The 24,714-nt window shown below is 39.6% G+C and overlaps 1 protein-coding gene across 4 annotated transcripts in view, besides 2 other annotated features; it reads right to left on the bottom strand.

Annotated features, from left to right (window-relative positions):
- SMARCA2 (SWI/SNF related BAF chromatin remodeling complex subunit ATPase 2) overlaps nt 1–24,714 on the bottom strand; it is a 178,274-nt gene that overhangs the window by 141,577 nt on the left and 11,983 nt on the right. For all 4 annotated transcript variants that reach the window (NM_003070.5, NM_139045.4, NM_001289397.2 and 1 more), the window contains exons 2-5: nt 22,797–23,057; nt 18,963–19,092; nt 12,144–12,578; nt 4,560–4,815 (exon numbers count right to left, since the gene is read on the bottom strand). In NM_003070.5, coding sequence (NP_003061.3) covers nt 4,560–4,815; nt 12,144–12,578; nt 18,963–19,092; nt 22,797–23,021 — 1,046 coding nt within the window. In that variant the 5' untranslated portion in view covers nt 23,022–23,057. The remainder of the gene's footprint in view (nt 1–4,559; nt 4,816–12,143; nt 12,579–18,962; nt 19,093–22,796; nt 23,058–24,714) is intronic.
- Nucleotides 8,465–8,694: an enhancer, noted in NCBI's record as "active region_28136". NCBI's record gives its function as "activates an Ori minimal core promoter by ATAC-STARR-seq in GM12878 lymphoblastoid cells {active_cell/tissue: GM12878}" and the evidence as "EXISTENCE:reporter gene assay evidence [ECO:0000049][PMID:35858748]".
- Nucleotides 11,736–12,285: an enhancer, noted in NCBI's record as "H3K4me1 hESC enhancer chr9:2039759-2040308 (GRCh37/hg19 assembly coordinates)". NCBI's record gives its function as "activates a minimal SCP1, AML or CMV promoter by ChIP-STARR-seq in primed H9 embryonic stem cells {active_cell/tissue: H9 hESC(primed)}" and the evidence as "EXISTENCE:reporter gene assay evidence [ECO:0000049][PMID:30033119]".

Genomic DNA, 24,714 nt, shown 5'->3' with positions numbered 1-24,714 from the left:
CTTCCACATTCCTTGTACTAGTGATACTCGTGAGATTATTACCGTGGTTTTTAATTTTCACTATATGAAACAGACATCTACTTCATTTACTCATTTTCTACAACATCTATGTAGCCCCAAATCTCTGGATACAGCAACAGATGATGCATCTTAACAATTAAGATGTAAAGAAAAAAATCCACTATTGATTTTTTTTGAAATATATAATTTAAAGGGAAAAAATAAAACTGAGACAACTTTACTTTCACAGGTTAAGGCCATACCAAAGGAAAATTAAGTATTATAGTGGCGTGAGCCCATGGCCAATGATTTGGTTATTCCGCATCCTTGGTTCTAGATTCCTTGCAGATCTTTCTTATTTGAATATCCTAGAACTCAAACTATCCCTTGGTATTCTGATTTACTCTCTTTGACAAAGTGGGTCAGATGCCAAATTAGAGGAATTCCTACTTAATCTTCCAAACAACCATGGAACTAGGACTAAATAAGTAATCGTCAGATAACTGGGGTGATAGGGTAGAGATTACATCACATTGAACTGGGAGGTGGGAAGCAGGGAAGTGGAGCGGAAATGAGGAGATGGGGGGTGGGAACCCCGGGGAGATGGGGCACTGTGTGACTTAGGCACTGGAGAGAGAGAGTGGGAGCGAGGGGGGTGCACCTCTCCCTGAAATGACTCCTTCTCCAAGGAGCCCAGTTATTTGTCAGTGAATCTGATTCCCTGGCACAAAAGAATCCCTTTTCTGGAAGGGAGGCAAGAAGTACAAAGCGCAAACTCTAGGAGAAGAGGAAAGGTAGACTCCATAGTAAAATTATATGCATTTGATTCAGCACATGGTGGGGAAGAAGCAAAGGTACAGGAGGGGCTTCTTTAACACAGAAGATTATATCTTTGTTGATGTTGTTGTTGTTAATAGAAATCTTCATTTTAAATAATGTTCCTCTCCAGACAATTTCATCTCCCCATCAGTGAGATTCAGCAGGTAGTCCGATAAAGAGATTCAGGATTCTAAACTTCCCCAAACAACAACAAGATGTAATACTGCATAACTGCAGGGGACTCATTTAGCGTCCTCACGAGTACAGAAAATTGATGCAGAATTAGGTCACACAGGTTTTTCATACAGATTGAACAGTAAATCACGAGGGGTTACTGTTCTGGCAAGAAAAAGAGTTGCATTAAATGCAACAGATACTTGTTCAGGTCCAGAGGAGAAGTTTATGATTCCTGTAGGAGAGTTATCTGAACAGAAAATGACACTGGTACATTTTGTTCCTTCAAGGAGCTGAGTGACACTTTAAAAAGAGAGCGTGTGTGACTTTTTGTAACTCTGCTGGTAAAGCAGCTACTGGTAATTTTTGAGAAGGAATTTTCAGGATTGCAATGGCGACAAGGGCAGGTCAAAAAAAAAAAAAAATCACAGGTAAGCAGCCTATGCCTGCTTCCTGACACAAAGAGGATATACCGCTCTTTTCATACTAAAGTCTGACTTTATTCCGAAGAGGGCTGATATAATTCAGACATGTTCTTCCCAAATAAACCCCTTCAAGTGTGAAATACATCTTCCAGGCAAACATGTGTGGAATTAGTTTACATGCCAATGTGATGATTCCTGAGGTACTTTTGATCAGACATCTAACTCTAAATAGAAGAAAGCGAAGTTAGGCACAATGAGAAGGCATCAAAAGTGTGCCAAAAAGAAAAAAAAGAAAAAAAAAAAGCAGTACAGGGAAACATCTCTCTGACACTTACTATGGAAGTAATAAAGTTCCATTATAAGAGAAAGATGGTCAAAAAGAAAGGATCCAATTTAAGTGGGAAAAATGTTTGAACTAGAGAGCTTGTACAGAGCTGCAGCAAAGTGCTCATAGGCAGACATTTATTTATGCTATGAATGAAAAAGAAGGTCAATTTGTCAACGTTCTGATTTTATGATGAACAAGGAAAAGCAGCCAACTGACTTAAACGTTAAAAAAATTTAAGATGCTGAAAACTTCCTGTCAAATTTCATAGACAAGGTAAATGATATTACAAGACCCAAAGAAATTAACATCTGTTCAAGAATTTCTGACAGATGATTTTTGCTGAAACTAAGTTTATCAAATTGTAAAAGAGGTTTTTTAGACCCCTCTCTAATCTTTGATCGGATGATAAAGATGAACTGGATCCTAACAGTTATCAATGCTAAAGGCTGGTAAGCCATTCTGTCACAAAGGGTCAAAAGAAGAAAAAAAATGGTTCATTTGTTGTCTTTTGCAAGTGCCTAAGGGACTTCATTTAACCCTTTTAAGGGATAAATTTAATCTCTGCAGTTGAACAACTTACCTTCAAATAGGCAGAAGAGAGCTATTGCTCTGTAACCAAAGAATACAAAACATGCCCCATAATGCTGTCACCACCAAACTGTGCTTCTTCTCCAGGTGGCCATGAGAAAATTCAGACCAAAGGACCCATGACCTTTCTGGATTCAGGGTTGTCCAGATCAGTCGTTTCAAAAGCCACATGGCTTTACAAAAGAGTAGGCATTTATAAAGCAATAATAATACTATGAAAAATTGCCATTCTCCACATTTTGTAATGCATGTAATTTAAAAGATACTGACAGCATTTTTTATTGACATAGGAGGGCAGAACAAAAGCTTTTTACACATTGGAATAGGCCAAATAGTACTACTTAATACTGTGCACTTTGGAAGACCATCCACTAAGGTAATCTCCAAAAAAGTTCCTAAAATAAACTTATTACAAGAAAGTCCTGCAATGAAAATTCCAGAAAAAATGATTAAGAACATTTAGGAGTTAGCAAAATAAAAAGTTAAAACACACTTGTGCACACACACATACCAGGCTGAATAAGGGAAAGAAGTCTAGACATATGTAAAAATTTCTAGCTATAGAAAGCATCTCTCTTCTAAGGGTAGTTCACATAGTTTAACAAAGGTACTGGTAATTCAAATGGAAAAAAAAAATGTTTTAACTAGGGAGCTTGTACAGAGCTTTTTCCTTTCCTAGGGTAGGAAAAAAAATATCAGCTCTTAGGAAGTCAGAATTTTAGAGCATCCACATTGTATTTCTCTATTCTATTACTGACTTTTTCCAATACTTTTAGCTTTTTAAAAACTCAACAGTAACATACAGAATGTACTGCACATTAGTCTATTGCACATGAATAGAGGAATATGCTAGTATTTGACTTTATAACACACAGCAATTATTCACCCAGCAGAATCTGCCTATCAGCACTGAAATATCAATTGACAATGAGTATCTAGCTCTCTGGGAATACATGAAATGGTGGAAATAGCAATATAAAATCTCTTAACAGATGATTATTAATAGTGATGAGAATAAAGTTATATTCTTCATCCAAAAAAATAAACACATCTAATGGCAAGTTATTCTGATTTCTTTCAGATTACCTCTCTAGGCTGGTAACTTAGTATTTTAGTCTGATAAGAAATGAGTGATGTGCTTTTCAATAAAGATTAAGGTAACCTTTTAAAAGGAAGCCCAGACACTGTTTACCAACATTCTCTATAATTTTTAAACTCTAATTTTCCTTAAAATTAAAGTCTTTGGGAAATAATAATAGGTATTATTTATTGAATGTTTCAGTATCATTTTATCTTCCCAACACTATGAGAGGTATCTTCTTTTAGCCTAGGAGGAAACTGAGTCACAGAAAAGAGACATAACTTCGCCACGGTAAGAAGTTACTGATGACACAGTATGCTTTCTGGCAGACTCCAGAATCCACAACCTTAGCTTCATTTTATCTTGACTTAATACTTGCCGGACTCCCTTTTGGGTTGACATTAACCATTTACATCAGGGGTCTCGTAAACACAGCCTGCAGGCCAAATTCTGCCTCCAGCCTGTTTTTGTAAAGTTTACCGAAAGGCAGCCAGCCCATTATTGTCTGCAGCTGTTTTCACACTGCAAGGGTAGAGGTGAGTTGTGACAGAGACGGTATGGCCCCAGAGTGCATAAAACATTGACTATCTGGCTCTTTACAGGAAGAGTTTACCAAAACCCCTGATTCTGCTAAATGGCTGAATCAGGTAAAAATTAAGCTTCTGGACTAATGATTTAAGTATAGACCTTGTATAAAGACACTCGCACAGGGTATACCCATAAGGCTGGATCACTGCATAGACACACGTGAATTAAAACAAAGATTATACCAAGCTACCGAAGGATGCTTTAGTAGAAACGTACAGTTAACATGAAAATCAGGCCAGCGCAACACACTCAGCGTCCCAGCCCCTCCGTCATCACCGAACCGCACAAGCACAAACACGGACAGTGTATTCCACAGTCGCAGTGTGAGATGATCACTCTCTCGGGTCCACAGGAAGTCCCCGTCGGCTTTTGATCTTCAAAACCCCGGTGCCTCCCCTCAGCACCGGGAAGGCCCCAGGAGTGGATGAAAGTTTTCCGACCGCACGGGTGAAAATCACAGTTTGGCCAACCAAGGAGGCAGGCGCCTCACCCCCCTCGGCTTGGGCGGCAGGTGCTAGCACACCGCAGGGGGCCCCTTGCTGGCGGGGTGCGTTACCTGTATTCCCGCTCTTGCAGAATTTCCACGGGGTCCAGGCCTTGCGGTTTCTGGATGGGGCTGATGCGGCTCTGCTTCTGCTGCAGCTGGAGGACGGGCGAGGGCTGCCCCGGGGCCGGCTGCGGCACTGAGGGCCCGGGCACTGCGGCCGCGGGCGGCTGCGCGGCTGCGGGGGGCGCGGGCGAGGGCCGGCCGCCGGGCGCGGGCACCGGCAGCTTCTGCGGGGTGCTCGGGCCGCTCAGCTCCGGCCCCGGGCCTGCGGGACAAGAGCGACATGGGCAGCTCGGGCGGGACGGCGCCCCGCGGGCCACACCCGGCCTGCCCGCCGCCCCCCGGGGCCCAGTGCTGGGGACCATTAAGTGTCTTAAACACCTGAGGGAAGAGAAGGAAAAAAAAAAAAAGGAGGGCAAGAAGGAAGAGGAGGGAGGGAGAGGAGGGCAAGACAGGGAACGGGGTAAAAGGAAAAAGAAAACGGAGAAGGAAAAAGACACAGAAAGAAAAAAGAATCTGGCATCTATCCCCATCGGGAAATGGCATTCACTAACGAACACGGGTGCAAATGATCCCAAAATGACGGTGACTTAATACAATTGATTAAGGAAACTACTGCCAGCTTTTAATGTAGCTCTGCAATGGGTTTCTTTCTTTTTCTTTTTTTAATTACAGGTGCATTGAGAGTTCAGAAAAGAAAGGGAGTCACCCAACAGTCAGATGCAATTTGGGTATGGTCCTAAAATCACATCTTGCAAATTGCACCTCAAGCCCTTTTAGGACAGACCTCTATCCCAATCTGAAGCCCTTTTAGGACAGACCTCTATCGCAATCTGGAAGAGCCCTGCTGTCAGAACCCATGCTTTACAAACAGAGCAACGAGTTTATCAGTCTTCTGATGTGAACTACAAGGAGCACACACTTTTTCTTTTAAGGCCTATAAAGCATATTTCAGGTTTAATCAGTGAAGTCTGGGAACTTAAATTTTTTCTTACTACATATTAGAAAACACTTCTTAAAACATTCATTGTTAGCCAAAAAAAATCTGCTCATTCCACCTAATAAAAATTGGCAAATATTAGGATTCAAGGGAGCATTATCCCATGTTACCAGAATAAAACAATATGTAATCTGAAAGCTTGTCAAAGTGCATTGATTAAGTTAATTTAAAATAATTTTCCGCATTGAACTTCAGGAGTTTAAGTTAATTACTAGGTACAGACTTAAATTTTTAAGTGTTCCATTTCTTCTCCTAGATGAATTTTCAGTTGCCTTAAAATTATAATTTTAGTGATGCTACCAGATGAGTTAAATTTTTTTAAAAGAATCTCAGTAAGCAGATGTTAAAGTCCAGAGCATTTTTCCAATTTTTTCTAAATCCTTTCTAAGAAAAAATAGCTATTAAATGGTAACAAAAATAATAGTCTACATACTTCAGAGCGATTTAATAATTAACCATACAACGACATACATTATGAAAAACTGAACACATTTATTCAATTTCCAACAATCACCAATTAGAAATGGGCTTAAATGACAATACAAAGAAAGCTATAAGCAAACATTTTGACAGGGGGATGTGAAGAATTAGAACAAACTGCTTAGGAAACTACAGTGTGTGCCTGTGTTTGTGTCGTGTGTGTGTGTGTGTGTGTGTGTGTGTGTGTCTGTGATGTTATCGTTCTTTTCCCCTCCTTCTAAAATTAGGTAAAACATTTCCTAAAGATACAGAGCAAGGTAAGATTTCTTCTTCAGGTAATTTCCAGCAGTGGTTCTCGGGGTTGATGAGAAAATCTTAGGAGGAAAATGCACTTCATTTTATTTTTAATTTTAGGTATTGTAGATGTACCTCCATAATTAAGAAGTTTTTTCATCTAAATACTTTTTTTCCTGTATAAAAGGTCCTTTATGTAATGCATACCTTTTATAATACGATACATTTAGAGTTCCTTTCATCCATATATAAGAAACCAATTTGTAAATATTAAGTCTCAGGGTTACTATGCATTGGAGTAAGTTATCAGGGGAAGTTTTAGAATATTTTTCCCTGGAGAGCTTTAAAACAAGGTACATTTTTCATTTGGGTTGCTCTAGGTGTGATCCAGTCAAGTCAGAGGAGATACAGATTTCTAACATTCATTTTAATTCCCTATGATTCTATGACTCTCCTTAAGAAGCTCAAGAAGCTGGTAGAATTAAACATATTTGAAGCCTTGCTATAAGCATGCTAAATCAGGAATTTAATACATTTAGGTCCTCTAAAAGCAACCATCTTTAGGTCTTACTGATAATATCGGAAGAATTACTTTAAATTTAGTTCTCAAAGTGTTTTTCCTCCCAGTTCAAATAATTCATCAACAAAAGCCGTAACACTGCAATCATGTTATCATTTCACTTGTACTGGCACTGTCTTCTTTAGCATTATTGCCTATAAATACCCATGCAGAAGATTATGAAGACTCCTTGAGGTATAGTCAAGTCACTATTTTAAAAACTACATTTAATCAAAAAGAGGTACCCAAAGCATATCTTTCATCTCTGGTCCAGAATCTAGTCTGTGACTCCAAACTAGATCTGATATATGCATGGACCGCCTTCTTCAGTCACTAAATAGAAAGATATTCTAATTTTGTTGATTCACCTGTAACACTGAAAGACAGAGAGAGATTCAAACATCTACTTACATATTCCAGTCTCCAATTTAAAAGTACTGCAACTTGCTGTGCACTAAACAGGTACCTTTAAACACCCTGTATCTTCCCAGAAAAAATGTTCTTTCACCTCAGCTGTTATCACCTGCTAGTTGTGTGAGCCTGAGCAAGTTACTCAACCAATCTGTGGCTCAGTGTCCTCATCTATAGAATGGGGAGAGTAACAATAGCCACCTCATAGGGCAGCGGTGAAGATTCAGTGAGATAACAGTGTCTACCTGTTCAACCCTCGGCTTTTGTCGTTTTATTGCCAAGGACAGGGAGATAAAGAAGCCTAATTGACTCAGCTTTATAGAAAAACCACATGGCAAAAGAAAGGTCTTTCAGGAAATTCGGTACCATATTAGCTGGCAACTTTGGGAGTACTCTTTTTCTATAGCAATTTCTAAGTGTTTCAACAGTTTAACACAACTCCTCAGCACAGATACTCAGATGAGTCCGCCTGCCATGTGCTCCCTGGAGTCTGCTACCAGAGCTACTTAGAGCAAACTCCACTTCCTAGCTAAACACCACAAGTTCATTTACCGTGTGGGTCTATTTCCTCTTCCCTCCGACAGATTGTATAAAAATGACTACTTAACAGAGGCCGGGGAACTGAACACAGCTTGCTGCAATTAGCCTTGCCCAAAGTCTACCTACCCATTCATTAGGTTTTATGCCTGTCTGTCCCTCAGGCGGCTTACGGGTTCGTTTGCCTGGCTGGCTTTGCTCTCTATCGACAGAAATCGTCTCCTCTACACTAGACACCGGTGGCCTGCTACTTGACAAGACTTTTCCCTGGTATCTTCAAATGGAAGACAAATCACATTCTTTAGCTTATCTCCCACTCCCTCTCCAACGTAAACAATTTAGGCTTCATTGTCAGAGGTACAAAATGCCATCTGCTTTCCCTTCAGTCCTCATTTTAGGAGTCAAAGTAGAAACAAAGTAGAAACTCTGGCCCTCCAGAAGGGAGTCCCAGCGCAGCTAAGCGGGGAGGGGGCAGTCTTTATTGAATGCATCCCTAGGCGTGATTTGATGCAATAGGGTAACAATGTATTAAAATACCCAAGTCTCACAGGCACAGAACTTCAAAGCATTCAGTGCTCCCACTTAGTCTTCCGGCATACAGGACATTCATGCAAATAAAAGATCTATGCATTCAGTAAGAATTTAAGGGGTTTCCACAGGTTGGAAAAAACAAACGCAATAAAACATTTAAATTGAGCATATAAAATTTCAGATATCAAAAAAAACACTTTATTTTCTACCATAAGGTCTCTCCCTCACCCCTCAAAAACCCCAAATTTTTTCAGTTCCCATTTTTCTTTTTGTTTGAATCTCTGAAAGGAAAAGTGAATCAAAATGAAAAGAAAAATGATGGGTTAGATTTGAGCGGTGCCCACAGCAGGCAAGGGCACATTCCATCGTAAGAGTGGCTGACATTTTGTAGGGGAAACCACTGCAGAGTTATGTGTTCCATGGGCAATGCCTCGACTCCAATCATAATTCTTTGGTGGTGGCTGGGATGATGTCACTTTTGGTGAATTATAAGTTTGGAGCAGCTTTGAGGCAGGCCAACCCAGCCAAAAAGATTCTCTTCACACATGAATAACACCAGGAAATGGAACAGAAGCAAAATGGGAACACAACTACCTCTACGTAAGTGAATAATATCCTGAAATATTAGCAGGGGTGTTTAAAAGTAATTTATTTTATAAAAAGGAGATAAACAATAAATAGACTAATATGAACTTTAACAAGAAAATCATGCCTTATTTTATCTTTTCTAAAAGCCAATCTAAAAAAAAAATTATTTTTGGCAAGTAAAGTTATCTGTTTCTCTAATGAAACCTGAGATGTGGGGACAAGTTCAGCAATGCTGTCAAATGGCAGTGCCCTCTCAGTGACAGAAATGGGCTCATTCTATTTGAAGGAGATATCTTCTTTCCTCCTTCATTCACGTCTCCTTTCCACTCTTCCATAAAACCCTACCTGCCCAAATATTGTCATTTCTAATGAAGCTCCGACTATTGAAAATTTAAAAAGACATGAGCAGTGAGTAATAAAGTGAATTCCCTTTAATGACAGGCACCTGATGACGAAAGATGTAGGTACCGGAGCCAGGTTAAAAAAAAAAAAAAAATAGAGCCCTCTCCTGAAAATGATCCAGAAAAGGCACTCAGGATTGGGTTGATTAGGACATGAAGCATTTATTGTGTACAGGTATCCAGATAAATGGAACTTCATCCTTTAAATTTTACTACTGTGTTCAGTTACATTATTTTAACCTTGGATGAAAAAGGTTTCTCAAACAAATCATTCTGCTTCCTACATTCTTAACTGATATCTTCGAATCTTTTATTACTGAGTCTAGCTCGTTCTTAAAAATACCAATGCTTGGTGATGTCTGTGACAAGATGATATCCCAGGACCAACTGTGAGGTATAGCAGATCATACCCAGAACACATCATCCCAGACTACTACCTTTTGGGAGTTCAAGTTCTGATCCCTCCTCTCCATCAGCCTTTCATGTAGCTGGTAGTTACCAGCTGGCCTCTACTTGAAATTCTCCTAGTTAATACTCTTCACATACTGAGACATGGGATATAAAGATTACCAATTTTGTTGATATTGTGTCTCAGAGTAAGAGGGAAAAGGATCTAAGTAAGGTGTGCAGATACTGTCTCTTTACACACAGAAGTACAATGCTTGCATCTTGGTACACAGACTTTGTGATAGGTTTTTTTCCTTGTCATGAGCCTTTTTGCCATGAAGGAGCCAGTATGGGAAAGTGGTTAAGAACATGAGATCTTAAGTCAAATTCCTGGGGTCTGAATCCCGACTCTCCATCATTAGTTGTGTGACACATGCAAAGGACTTATCACTGAGAATGGCACATGAGTAGGCCAGCAGGCACTCAGGGAGGATAAGCCACACACACATATACATACGTGCTTTTTTCTTCTATCTGGCTGCATTCTCAAGAGCTGGAGTTTTGCAGTTTTAAAACCTCTAAATACTTTTAGGATTCAAACTGCCATTTTCTGCATAGTTTCTTGTATAACCTTTCCTGTTCCCAAATCTCAGTTCTCTATGATCCTCCACCTACCAAATGCCTCCATGGTAGCCACACAGAAATTCTGGAGATGAAATGATACTTTCTTGCCCTTTTAAAACCCACTGCCATGGTCTGAAAGTTTATGGTCCCCTCAAAATTCATATGTTAAAATCCTAATTCCCAGGGAGATGGTATTAGAAGGTGGGGTCTTTGGGAGGTGACTATTTCATGAGAGTAGAGTCCTCATAATTGGGATTCATGCCCTTGTAAAAGAGGCTCCAGAGAGCTGCCTTGTCTCTTCTGCCATGTGAGGACACAGTGAGAAGGAAGCCATCTATGAATCAGGAAGCAGGCCCTCACCAGACACTGAATCTGCTGGTGTTTTGAGGTTGGAATTCCCAGCATTCAGAGCTGTAAGAAATAAATTTGCTGTTTTTAAGCCACCCAGTCAATGACCTTTCATTACAGCAGCTCAGACTTACTAAGACATCCATTCTTAAGGCTATAACAATTAATAAGATGAGGATATCTCTTAGGTAGGCCTACTCTTGGAGCTGCCTCTACCAGAAAATAAACGTATACAAACTCAATAGGCAGAATATTAATGAAAAAATACTAATCTGAACTCTCTCCCATGGTATAAGGCCCAAAACCCAGGAACAGTACCAATATCCCAAACTAGCTGTTTGCAACAACCTGCATGTCAGAACTTGCCTAAATGAATGGAAACCACTCAGAGGAAATGGTATCAACGTCAAGGAAGTACCTCATTCCCTAGAATCCAAAGTTTTCATTAGAGTAGACCCATACAATCTCTGCTTTTCCAGTTCTTTAACAAAACGCTTCCTAGAGAAAACAACCTTCATGGAAGATCACTTCACAGTCCCCTGCACCTCTGAAGTCTATCAATGGGATCAAGACAGAAGACCAAGAGGCCATGCAAAGGATTGTATCATTTCTACCCATTGTATAATGTCATAGCTTCAGACTTCATCCCAAGGTGTATAAGAAATAGGCCATGTTGAATCTGTTAGTCTATTATGAACAAATGCTATTGATGTTTCTGTCATGCAGTGCCTCTTACAATAATGATGATGATAATAATTTAAAAAATAATCTCACCTGGGAAATCAACTCTATACTCTCATGCTAGAAATGGCTTTTTCTGAGAAACTGGTAAGGAACTTCCTTCCAAAGGGCGAGACTTAGATACAGGACTTTGTCTCCTTTTGGCTCTGATTGTCAAGAAACTCAAGTCATCTTTGAAGCAAATACAGCAACTATGAGAACTTTTGCAGCCCTACTTTCTTGCCTCAATTTCTTACTTTTTTTTCTATTTTCCCTTGTTGCTGATTTTGCTACTCATAATTATTTTACAACAGGCATGCTTCTTGTAAGCCTCTCCAGATGTTCTTCATAACAAAAAGGGATAGAAATAAACAAATCAACAAATTATAAAATGGCTCTAGTGGGGCTGATCTGAGCAGTGAGTTCTGGGGATGAAATGCACTAAGTCCAGAGGTTCTTAACCTTGTGTGTGTGGATGGGCTTCCAAGAAACCTTGAACCGCTTCAAAGAGAACGCAAAATCACAGGTGCTTTTTCCCTGGGTCTCCAGCTTGCACAACCACCTTTTAAGGTTAAGAAACACTGCCCTAGGTCTCAACAGCAGGGGAAGACCAAGAATCTTGGCCATCTAAGTGGAGCAAGGATAGAGAGCCAGTGAGGTATAACAAAAGGCTACGTCAGCCCCGGGCTTTTAACAACCCGGTGTTTTGGTGAGCAGTCTTTGTTATCCGAGTTGGACCATGGCATTATTCATTTGGTTGCGTATTAACCTACCAGATGGTCTGTTGTAGTTAACAAGGGCCGGCTGCTGTTGTTGCTGCGTCTGTGGTTGCGGCGGCTGCTGCTGCGGCTGCTGTTGCTGCTGCTGCTGCTGCTGCTGCTGCTGCTGCTGCTGCTGTTGCTGCTGCTGTTGTTGCTGCAAGCCAGGCAACGTCCTTTTCCCCTGGACTGCAAGCTGCAGCGTTTCGGGGAGGGGCTGGCCTCGGGCCAGCATTTTATAAGCTAAAATCTGAGCTCGAAGCTGATGCAGCTGGACAGGACTGAAAGGTGAGGGACCTCTGTTGGGCTGGCTCATGGCCTGCGGATCACCTGGGATGAGGGCCCCCGGCTGGCTTGGTGGCATCTGAGGTGGAGTTGGGCCTCCTCCAGACATAGGGCTGGAGACGTGCTCTGGGGCTCCTAATGGAGATGGGTGTGGTGACATATAACCTAAAATAAAACACAAAAGGAAATCACAGGCTGCCCCTGACAACCCTGAAAGAGAGATATCCCTGAATACTCTAATAATTGTCCACAGCAACACTGTCTGACAGAAATTTGAATGACATATCATTTATTAATTATATGGAGTTTAAGATCTTTACATATCAATATGTGCTTTATATATATGTAAAATTTAAAATTTTCTGGTAGCCACTTTAAAGTGTTAAAAAAAAAAAAAGCAGGTAAAGTTAATTTAAATGTATTTTACTTAAACCAACATACCCAAAACATCATTTTAAAATGTAAAAACTGTTGATGAGACATTCTACATTCTTTTTTTCATATTAAGTCTTTGAAATCCACTAAATATTTTACACTTAAAGGACATCTCAATTCGAACTAACCACACTTCAAGTGATCAATAGCTACATGTGTCCTAGAAGGTAAACCGTTAGTGGTTGTTGTTCACCACTAACCAAGGGACAGTACTGAATGGTAAAAGTAGCTCCAACTGCGAGAACATAACCTGATATATCTCAATGGGGAATAAAGAATTTCTTAGGTGAAGAGCGAACACTTGGTTTATTATTATGCATGTTATGAATAACTTGCAATTATTGAGTGCCTACATGTTGTAGGTACTATGCAAGGAGTTGACTTGCACTCAACTGTCACAGTTGGGTTCTCCCTAGTAGCAGAGTCTTATTTAAGGATTGAGTACTAGTAATTTACTGGGAAGGTAAGGGGACACTAATAGGGGTATGAAAAGGTAATATAAGGAAGGGAAGGCAGCCAGTAAAGGGGGGGTATTTTCAAGCCAGCTGCTGCAGTGGGTACCTGAAGATTAATTCAGTGCAGAAACTCTAGAATATATAGTAAATAACTTGCCTCCAAATTATTTCAGGAAAGGGGTAAAGAAGCTGGGGTACTTATACTCCTGCAATCAGCAGTCACTGGTTAAGCCACTGGTTATGACTAATGCCCTAAAGATTATTATTCTCCAGGGACTTTGCCATTATGTGGGAAAGGTAGGTGTCAGTAGACGGAAGTGAACCAAGACAGTGGTTCTGGGCACAGGAAATCAGGCTGGTGGGGGTATAGAAATGGTAAGGGGAATCAAGAAGATATGGGTAGAACATACATTATTTCTTCAATCCTTACAACAACCTAAAAGATATATACTGTTACCACATTTTTTAAAATGAGGAAAATGAGGCTCAGAGAGTAAACCAGTTACCCAAAGTCACACAATTAACTTTTGGGAGCTTTAATATTTAAACAAAGGTCTGTCTGATTCTAATGCATATGCCCTTTCCATGATCTAATACAAATTTGGTTATATGAAAATAAGTTAGGGACTTGAAAGTTTCAAAAACCTTCTAGAACCACTTGTGATATAACATAAAAATGAGAGTAAACTGTTTGGTTTATAAGAGATCTAAATGGGAAATTGAAGAACACTTTTCTGGGGAAGAAAAATCAAAATGCACAAAAAACCTCAAGGGACTTATTTCAGGAGATGACCTGCATAGCTTGGCCATAGAATTCCTAGAAAGACATATGACTGAACATTGTTGGAGGGAGCTCCAAGATGAAGGAAAGAACAAAGTGGCCTAAAGCAATCCAAAAGGTGTCCTTGAGCTGAAACAAAGTGCCAATTAATCAAGTCAAAGGTGTCCCAGAATATGGCATTACATACATAGATGAAAAGTCTCTGCCCTTTAATAAATGTAATCGTGTCACAGTTCTCACAAAGGTCATCACATAAGTGTTTATTAAATTCCTGCTGCATGCCCGAACCTAAGAAAAATTTGAACTGAAAGAGCTCTGTGCATCTGCAGAATCACAGAGGCCGGAGAATATATGACCGCCACCAACTGGGGATTCACCATCATAATTCACAAGACCACAGAAAATAAAAGATTCAGTTACTTTTATCTCCAATTGTCATTTGGAGAGGGAGGCAGATTTAGCGTGATCCCCTAAACCAAGAATGGGTTTTGCTCCACCAACTGATGAGAAGTAGAACTCTATTCAGGAGAATCCTGCCCTAAAGGTAAATAGAAGAATTGCTAAATTTCATTCCACAAATCCCTACTCCGTGAGGAAGCACAAACACCATGCAGTGATTACAGTTTTAGTTGGTTATATAAATTAGCCAAGAAAATTCCCTTGAAAGCTTGCAAGACTAGCAGAAATTTAAATCCTGACATGTTGTTATTATAACAATAAACACTTAGAGAATATCAATAACAGACACTTAACTTCAGCATACATTCTTCTTTAAGAAGGCTTACATTAACCCCCTAGTTGTAACGCTAGTACAAAATGGCAGTCTGTTCATTATGACGTCTTTCTGGCCAGCACTGAGTCTACCATAAGAGGAAAAATCTTTCCACCAAAGCTACTAACATTTTCACAGTAGAAGAGATACGACCAGGGCTTAAAATTAGTCATATGTTTCCTGATTTCCGGTCTTTCCTATTTCCTAAGGTCATCAATTACAATCTCACTCATGGCAAATCATAAGATGCCTAATACAATGAACCAAAATATTAGGCAACCTAGTCTAAATTCAACTGTATAACACTATTTCTTAAATCACTCTTTTAAACTATGAACAAGGCAACATTATGAAGGTGAGACAGTTACATTAAACATAAGAATTCAAACTGAAAAAAAGAACCTGGTCACTGGAAAATCAATACAAAAAAATTCCTACCTCAAATTTGATCAGAAAATTGAGAGGGAAATAAAAATCATTTCTGAGTTAGTCAATACAACAAAATTTTACCTCAAATTTGATCAGAAGAAAATGAAAGTGAGAAGAATCATTTCCCAGAATTTGTAGGGGATGTGAATAGAATCATTCTGTCACCGTATGGTATTAAAAATAGAGATTTTTATTTCTACATGAATAGCATCCCATAAAACTTGAGGAAAAACAGAATCTAAGTGATACAACATCACATATTTTGGTAATTATCTTTAGTTGAGAAAACAGAGTGAAGAAATTGCCTGAGAGTGAATATACATTGGTCTGTAGGATGACAGTGTTGATGCAGATTCTGCTCTTTTTGGAATCTTCTTTGATTTGCTCATTCGAAAGTAGTCAAAAAGTGGCAGTTTTCTTTCCCTAGTCTTCAAGGGCTATTATCTCCCCAGTTTCACCTTGCCTCAGAGAGATGCAATAACCTCTCTCCTATTAATAATCTTGAACTTCTAAGTGCCAATTCTACATGAATTTTCTCTACACGCACACATACAAACACACACACACACACACACACACACTATTTAAATATATACCTGCTTTTGAAGGGTTTCTATCCAATGGACTAAAAATAAACAATGTTATCATTGGGACCATAAGGTACACAATTCAGTATTTATTGAAGGAAATGGCTTTCCTTCTTGACCAATACCCTAAAATAACCTAATAGGTTGCTAGGTAGTTAAAAGCTCGCAGCCTTCCAATCAATACCACATCTCTCTGTTCCTGTGTTTTTATATTAATAAATGGCTTTTCACAGTGAGTTTTTTAAAGACACGTGCTATTACCAAGTCTAAATTCTTTTTAGATCATTATATAAAATAGGACTGCATTATACTAATATTGCTTTATTCAAAAATATACCCTTAAATAACTCATTCCTCAGCCTACAATGCACTTCACTATTTTAGAGAATATTACATGTTAATTCTGATTCCCTTTAATGCAGACCTTTGCATTTAAAGTTATTATACTTCATTGAAATTATATAAAAGTTGAGATCATTTTAAACTGTTGACTCTTTAATACACAAACTTCCACACCTAATTGAACAAAATTTACTAATATCTATCTAGCCATGTGCTAGCTAGATATCATCCTAAGTGTTGTGGATTCCAAGATAAATAAGACATCATTCTTAAGTTGAAGAGGGGAGCCAAGTGATCACAGAAATAAAAGTAAAAATGCTCTCAATTATGATTTGTGCATTTAAAGTGGTTTTAGTTTTCAGGTTTTCCTAGGACTCCACTATTAGAGCTACTGCAACAACAGGAGCAGAAAAAGTAAGCACCTGGCTTCAAGAATCACTAAACGTTACTCATCTATACCTCCCAGGTATTAAAAATAAAGGTTTAAGGCCAGGCATGGTGGCTCATGCCTGTAATCCCAGCACTGTGGGAGGCTGAGGAGGGTGGATCACCTGAGGTCAGGAGTTCAAAGACCAGCCTGGGCAACATGGTGAAACCCTGTCTCTATTAAAAATACAAAAATTAGCTGGGTGTGGTGGCACACGCCTGTAGTCCCAGCTACTCAGGAGGCTGAGGCAGGAGAATCGCTTGAACCCGGGAGGTAGAGGTTGCAGTGAGCTGAGATCATGCCACTGCACTCCAGCCTGGGCAACAGAGGGAGACTGTGCCTCAAAAATATAAATAAATAAATAAATAAATAAATAAATAAATAAATAAATAAAGGCTTATATTAGCTCCATGAACATACTTGGCCCCTTCAAATGTAAATGATAAGCCTGGAAATATTGTCTTACTTCATTCATAACCGTGAATGAGTCAAATCTGTTCTTCTTGTACTGCAAAAATTCCCAGTGCTTTTAGGCTGCTCTTCTGACATGGTCAAGATTCTATGAGTTATCTGCAACAATTATGCCTGCCTGCCACCAAAATTCAGATAAGAGTCTGGGATGTTCAAAAGCCTGTTCAAATACTAGTGGGGAGGCACTCCTATGCCTCCATGACTTGCCTATTTATATTTCAAAAAGAAAACAACTGTGCATAGACTTCTCTAAATCCTCACAGCCAAAAGTCTTCCCTCGAGTGGATGGATAGCTGATCATGGATAGAGGAAACACACACATTAATTACACAGGATTATATATAGCAACGCATAAACCATAAACCTTGAATTGGAATAACTACATATTAATTTTAATTAGTGCTAGATTAACTCATGTCCGTCATATGTTGAAATGACCACATAATGACTCTGAAATCAGGCTACATTGTATTAAAAGGCTTTGAGGTACGTGAATAGTTTTCACCAGTGAAGAAAAGAAAGAGGACTTGTTACGTATGAAGAAGAAAAGAAATATGCCATATACTGATTTAGCCATTGTTGTGAGTTGAATTGTGTTCCCCCTCCTCCAAATATGTTGAAGTCCTAACCCCCAGTACCTGGGAATGTGCCTTACTTTGAAATAGTTTTTTTTTTTTTTTTTTTTTTTTGAGACGCAGTCTTGCTCTGTCGCCAGGCTAGAGAGCAATGGTGCGATCTCGGCTCACTGCAACCTCTGCCCCCGGGTTCAAGCGATTCTCATGCCTCAGCCTCCCAAGTAGCTGAGACTACAGGCATGTGCCACCACGCCCAGCTGATTTTTGTATGTTTACTAGAGACGGGGTTTCACCATGTTGACCAGGATGGTCTCGATCTCTTGATCTCGTGATCCGCCCGTCTCAGCCTCCCAAAGCGCTGGGATTACAGGCTTCAGCCACCAGGCCCGGCCTGAAACAGTATTTTTGTAGATGTAATCACATTAAGATGAGGCCATACTGCATTAGGGAAGACCCTAATCCAATGAATGGCCCCCATAAAAAGAAGACAATCTGGACACAGACAGACACACAGGAAAAATTTCATGTGGATACTAAGGCAGAGATTGCAGTGATGCATCTGCAAGTCCAGGAATGCCAAGGATTGCTGGCAACCACCAGAAACTAGGAAGCAGCAAGGAAGGATACTTCTCTAAAGCCTTCAGAGAGAGCATGGCCCTGCTGATGCTTTGATTTCAGACTTTGCCTCCAGAATTATATAAGAGAATACATTTCTGTTTGTGGTAATTTGCTATGGCAGGCCCAGCCACCCACCAGAAATGACACATAATTTCACTGCCAGATAAAGCTGCCTTATAGACAATGGATAAGCATGCAATTCAAGGGACACAGGTGGTTCACCTTACCTTCACATCTACACTGTTGCTGGGAAGCAGGCCTAGATTCTCTTTCTGGCCCTGTCACCGATTGGACATGTAAACTTAGCAAAACAAAGTAAATTGTCCAGCTTTATCTTCTCTATCTATAAAACTGGGATAACCTAATTTACCCTAAAAGATCACGATAAAGATTCTAGATAAAGTACATAGAGCTCTTTGCAGACTGCTTGGACACATGGTGGCTAGTAAAATTACTAGGACTTCGGAAATAAAATTTCCCATATAAATCATCAGGTTGTATTGGTGAGGACGGAGGTAGATTTCCATAAGGAAAAGAAACCTACTAGGTTCAACCTTCCTTAGACACATTCTTTGGAATTCATAATTAAAATATCCAACAGGAAAGACTGAAAGACTATGCTGGGGAACCAGTATCAGGTGTGCAGCGGACACAAACCTTGGCTGTGTTGATCCATTGGACTCTGGGGAGGGCCCATGCCTGGGTGAGGTGGTCGCATACCAGTGCCCTTCATGGATCCACAATGGATGTCTTCTACAATCCCCTTGTCATGTATACCATCGATGGGCTGAAACATTTAAAGGACATTAGTTAGACACCTCTATAAGGTAAAATATTTCTATTTGGAGTTTTCAGACCCCTTCCTAAGTTCTTTAAAAGTGTGGCACTATCATCTACTACCCATTCTAGAGTTAAAAAAAGAGACTAGACCAAAAGGATCAGCAAACTATCTGTAAGTCAAATGTTAAGTCTTTAAACAGTGGAGGGTTGTTTTTTTGTTTGTTTGTTTGTTTGTTTGTTTTTTGTAATATCAGAACAGGCAATGAAAATGAAGTCCTGGTCACAAGGTAGACAAATATAGGCTATTTTTCCATACCCTGGTAAGTAATCTTGAAACCTGTTATATGTTGAAGTTAGTCTGAAGTCTGAAGGAAGGCTGTTTGACACATCTGTGATGATCCAGTTTTTGGTAATTTTTCTTCATTGGAAGGGAAGGAACCATGGAAAGTTTGAAAGTTGAAACCACAGGGTTCCATGGCAGTTGGAAAGAGAGGAACAGACAGGACAGAGCCGTGAATGGGGGGTGAATACTGAAAAGGAAAGTGTGTGCAATAGATAAAGCTGTACTACAGAGGGAGGAGGAACGGAAAAGGTTAAAGGCACAGTTTGGAAATAAACGAACACAGGGGCTGGACCCAAAACTTGAGGCATAATACGTGACAGACATGCAATAAACAGCTATTGAATCGACATTAATCCAATCCAGAATTGGGCAATGAAGCATGTGTTTGAAAAAGGAAAAGTCTATTCCTCCCCAAACTGTAATAGCAATTTTCAAAACAGCCTGAAAGAAATATTTCCAGGAGTTTATAGAAACCAAATGACTTCAAGCAAGAAAGTATGAGTGTTTGCAGTTTTGGAGAAAAGAAAGTTAATTTCTGCAGAGTCAAAAGTATGCACTTGAAAAGAGGAAAAAATGTATCATAAAGAGGATGTTTGGAAGAAAAATGGGAAGAATCTGGTATAAAGAGTGTCACTGAGTCTGTTAAATAGTAATAATAGAGAGGAAATCAAAGCAACACAGCAGATGTATTTAGGCCACTTGTTTATTTATTTCCAGTAATGTTGAAAAGCAAAAAGCTGAAGCCTCAGAGGAAGAAGGAAGAATAAGAGAAGAAATAAAACTGCCTATAAAAAGCATAGAAAAAAGTGAAGGCATCTGGTCAGCAGGTGTGAGCTCTAAACCCTCACCCGTGTCCTCACGCAGGGAACTATCTGAGGGGCTGGGGCCAAGGAGAAGCAGGATGGCAAAAAATGCAAAACTCACAGAATGCGAGCAAAGCAAAACAAAAAGAGGGAGTATTTAAGAGGGTAGAGAGAATATGAGAAAGTGTAATAAAAATGCTAGGACATAAAATGAAGGGATCAGAAGAGATAACAATTAATAAAAACAATCCAGGAGAAAAACATAACACTGACCCAACACTCACACATTGAATTTTTAACTGCTAAAGAACAATAAAGTTTAGCTAAGTATTTCCCTCACATTTTATCTTTCATTTTGAAGGTGAGACACCTTCAAATTATTCTGAAATTATGTAAGCCACTTAGAGGAAGGTTTACAAGTCATTGATCAGATCCAGAATATAGCTCCCAAATTCATTTAATCTAAACAGAAAACAATTTCAGGACTTGGATGTCAATATGTTCAATAGGTCCCCTGAAAAATATGACATGGAAAACGAGCAGCTTTATTTCTCTAGATCTCTGACAAGCTAACAAATGTATCTGTTAAAAAGAGGAGACAGAAAACTAGAGAATGTCATAGGGATATCCATAATACATTGTTAAATGAAAAAAGAAAGTTACAGAGTAATTAACAGAGACAACATGATTCTATAATAGCAAAAGAAAAGTAACCAAAAAAAAACACCAATATATACATATCTGTGCTTACACAGTATTTGTAATGAACATACAGAAAAGCAAGATAGAAAAAGCATGTACAACAAGCTGTTACTTGGGGTGAAGGTAAGATTATCTGTTTATCTCAGTATTGTTTTCCTTTTCAAAATAACCATATATTACTTTCCTAATTTGAAAAATCATCAAATTACAACACTTTTAACAAAAGGATCTTCCCTTTTGGGCTCTGATGCCCTACCCTAAAACTGACCTAAAGTCCTACGTAACTGGAGGAAAGACTTGCTCTTTTCTGTGGTAATCTTTTTGTTTTAAGCCAGGATCTTCCACGGCTTGTCTACTGTAATGGTTCATTTTATGTGTCAACTTGACTGGGCCTCAGGTGCCTAGATATTTGATTAAACATTATTTCTGGGTATGTCTGTCAGGGTATTCCTGGATGAGATTATCATTTGAATTGTTAGACTGAATAAATCAGATTGCCTCCAGCAATGTCGGTGGGCCTCACCCAAAATCCATGGAGGGCCTGAATAAGAAAAAAAAAAAAAAAAAAAGCTAGAGGAAAGGAGAAGCTTTCTCTCTGCCTGACTGCTTAAGCTGGGTCTTCTCCTGCCCTCAGACTTGAACTTACTCCACTGACTCTTCTGGCTCTTTGGACTCAGACTGGAACTCACATCATCAGTTCTCCTGGTTCTCCTGGTTCTCACATCACTGGAACTCACATCATCAGTTCTCCTGGAACTCCTGGTTCTCAGGCTCAGGTCTGAGCCTGTAGACTCAGACCGGAACTATACCACAGGTTCTGCTGGGTATCCAGATTGGTGACTGCAGATAATAGAACTCTCAGCTTCCATAACTGTGTGAGCCAATTCCTCATAATAAGTCTCTTTTTACATATATCTCTATCTCCTATTGGTTCCGTTTCTCTGGAGAATCCTAATGAATACACCTACTTAATGTCAAGAAGCAGCCCTGCCACCCTATCCACCTGTGATATCATCCCAAGGAGTGTAAAACCTCTACGTGTCTCATTAGGCAAAACCTTCAGGTAGTATGTAATGTCCTCATAGATTTTTCTTGGCTATTGCTTACTTTCAAAGCAAACTGTCACAGAGGATCTTGTTTACTTTCTCAAAAGGCTGTCTCTCTTCTTTGCATCTCCTGTGAAGGCATAATGCCAAGTTGTACAGATATGATCATCCCCACAGCAACAATCCAAGCCTCATAAATAAAGGATAATTACAACCTTAGTCCAGAAATAAACAGCTGGACGTGAGCTCTGCAAAAATCAGAACCTTCTTCCAAAACCAGAATAAAAGTGCTTCACAGAGAGACAGCAATGTGCATTTTAAGGATTCCCTAGAAACTATTTAATTTCAATAAAGCCCTTTCCAAAAAATCCTTTAGATAAGGACTTTTTCCTTCTACTCTTTGGGATCTAATTTTTGTTAATAAATGTCAGCCTTTTTAGGAAAGAATAATTTTCAGTATGTTCATTAGTGGATAAGTTACTTAACACAGATAGGAAAAAATAAGACTTATAGACTAATGTACTAATTCACCAAGACAAAAATACCTTCAACCCACAAATCACAGGATCTACTTATCAGAACTGCATAGTCTATGTCAGTATTTTAAAAAGCCAACATCTGATCTTCATAACTGATGCAACATCTGTAGCAATAAAAGTACCTCACAATATGCGTTTTTAATAATATATGAGATATACAAGACAAAGATCTTGCATGATTTTCTTGTTAACAACAGTAGAAAGGGGGATGGGGTTATCAGAAATATTAGCCATCCACTTATCAGAAGTTGAGTTTGAATGGGAGAACAAACTCTTACCTTATGCATTTGATGCATGCCTTCCTGTGGGAAGTCTGTGGACCCCATCGTCGGCATAGGATGGGAGACACTTGGAGGTCCAGGACTTGGCCCCATCATGCTGTGGACGGAACCTGGGGATGGTCCTGGTCCTGGACTAGGCCCAAGAATTGGCCCAGGGGAAGGCCCAGGCCCCGGCGAAGGCCCTGGGTGGGGCATCGCACCAGGGTCTGTGGGCGTGGACATCTACCTCTCCTGTCTCTGCCAGTCAGTAGAGTAATGCTAAGTTGAAAAGCAGAAAAAAGGAAGGCATGTTTTAAACATGATGTTAAGACCAGAATAAAACAATTGTTAGCATTTGATGGTGCCATTTCTGTAACAAACATCAAACAGAGCTGCCCTGTCTAGTCCAGATGTTTGAGTGAGTGTGATATACATCCGTCTGCCCTAGTCTTTATGAAGACCACTTGTTTAAAAAAAACACACACACTAAATGATTCCCCAGAAAAATATAAATCATCTAAGATACAAAAGGACTCACTGGAGAAACTCAAATTTAACACATAAGCAGAATTCTAAACAAGTTTGAAATTTATTACTGAAGTCAACAGATGCTCTCCATTACTTACTACCTTGGACACCTTACAAGACATTAACCCCCACAAAGCCATTAAAATACAGAACCCTTTAAAAAGTATCCAACCAAGACTCATTTTCATAAGTGAGTGGGCATTCAAAACTTCAAGATAGTTAAACCGGGAAAAATACAATCTTCTAATTTGAGAATGAAAGAGAAGTCCCAATCATGAAAAAAGCAAAGGCTATAGGAATCAGACAAATATGGGTTCAAATACTCATATATGTAATTACTAGCTACGTTATTTAATGTTTCTTCTTTTGAGATTTCAATGCAATGACATGTGTGAAAAACACAGCTGTAGTCTCAGCACAACAAACGGCCACCCTTATTTAGCATTACTTTCCCCACCAACTCCACCCTACCAGAAGTGATCAGGAGGGACAGTTTAAGACGTGATCCTCTTGCCAGCTAATTAATTGAAGCAGAGACCCCCTCAGACAGTTAAAACCAGGGATTTGTCCCAGACCTGGCTCTGGTCAAGAATCCTTGAGAGAAGTCATCCATGACTACTGGATCAGAGCTCACCACAGATGAGGTGTGGAAATTCTGGTTCTACAATTTCAGCAGAACTATATTCCACCACCCACACTCCAAGGCTTCTTGGCATCCCCATTGGAAATGCCTCATAGAGTGGGTACAACTGCATCTTGGCTATGAGCCAGAATGAGCAAATAAGCTGTTTTCCACATTCTGATAGAGATCAATGATGCCGGCAAGATAGCTGAATTCCACTAGCAACAGTAATTGTTCTATATTATGATGTTACCTTGGAGGCACACATCTGTACATGGAGAAACTTTTTGCTGTCAGCCTCACAAAATACAGAATGACATACCCTAAGTGATTTGCTTACCCATTGTTTAGTGGCAGAGATGGAATGAGACCGTGGTGGCCTAGTCACCATAGCAGGGCTCTTTACCCACAGTGGAATGGCGGGCTGGAGGGGCAGTACACAAAACACATTCTTTCCACTCCTAGCGACCCATCACTTGCACTGAATCTCTAGAGTATGAGGGCCATGAAGGCAGGCCATGCTCAGTTTCCCTTCCACGTTCCCAGCACCTCAACCAGCATATAGTCATAGCTCAAAAATTATCTGATGAATCAACTGCAGAGTAAATTTCAAGGGCCAACTATTAATAAAATCAACTTTTTAATTTTAACTTTATTTTAATTTTTCATATTTTTAGAGACAGGGCCTCTCTCTATTGCCCAGGCTGGAGGACAGTAGAGATCATGGCTCACTGAAGCCTCAAACTCCTAGGCTCAAGTGATCCTCCCCAACCAGCCTCCCAAGTA

The sequence above is a fragment of the Homo sapiens genome, chromosome 9 (genome assembly GCF_000001405.40).
Source record: "Homo sapiens chromosome 9, GRCh38.p14 Primary Assembly".
Lineage (NCBI taxonomy): Eukaryota > Metazoa > Chordata > Mammalia > Primates > Hominidae > Homo > Homo sapiens.
The sequence above is the reverse complement of the archived record's forward strand: the minus strand, read 5'-3'. Positions and strand labels throughout refer to the sequence as shown.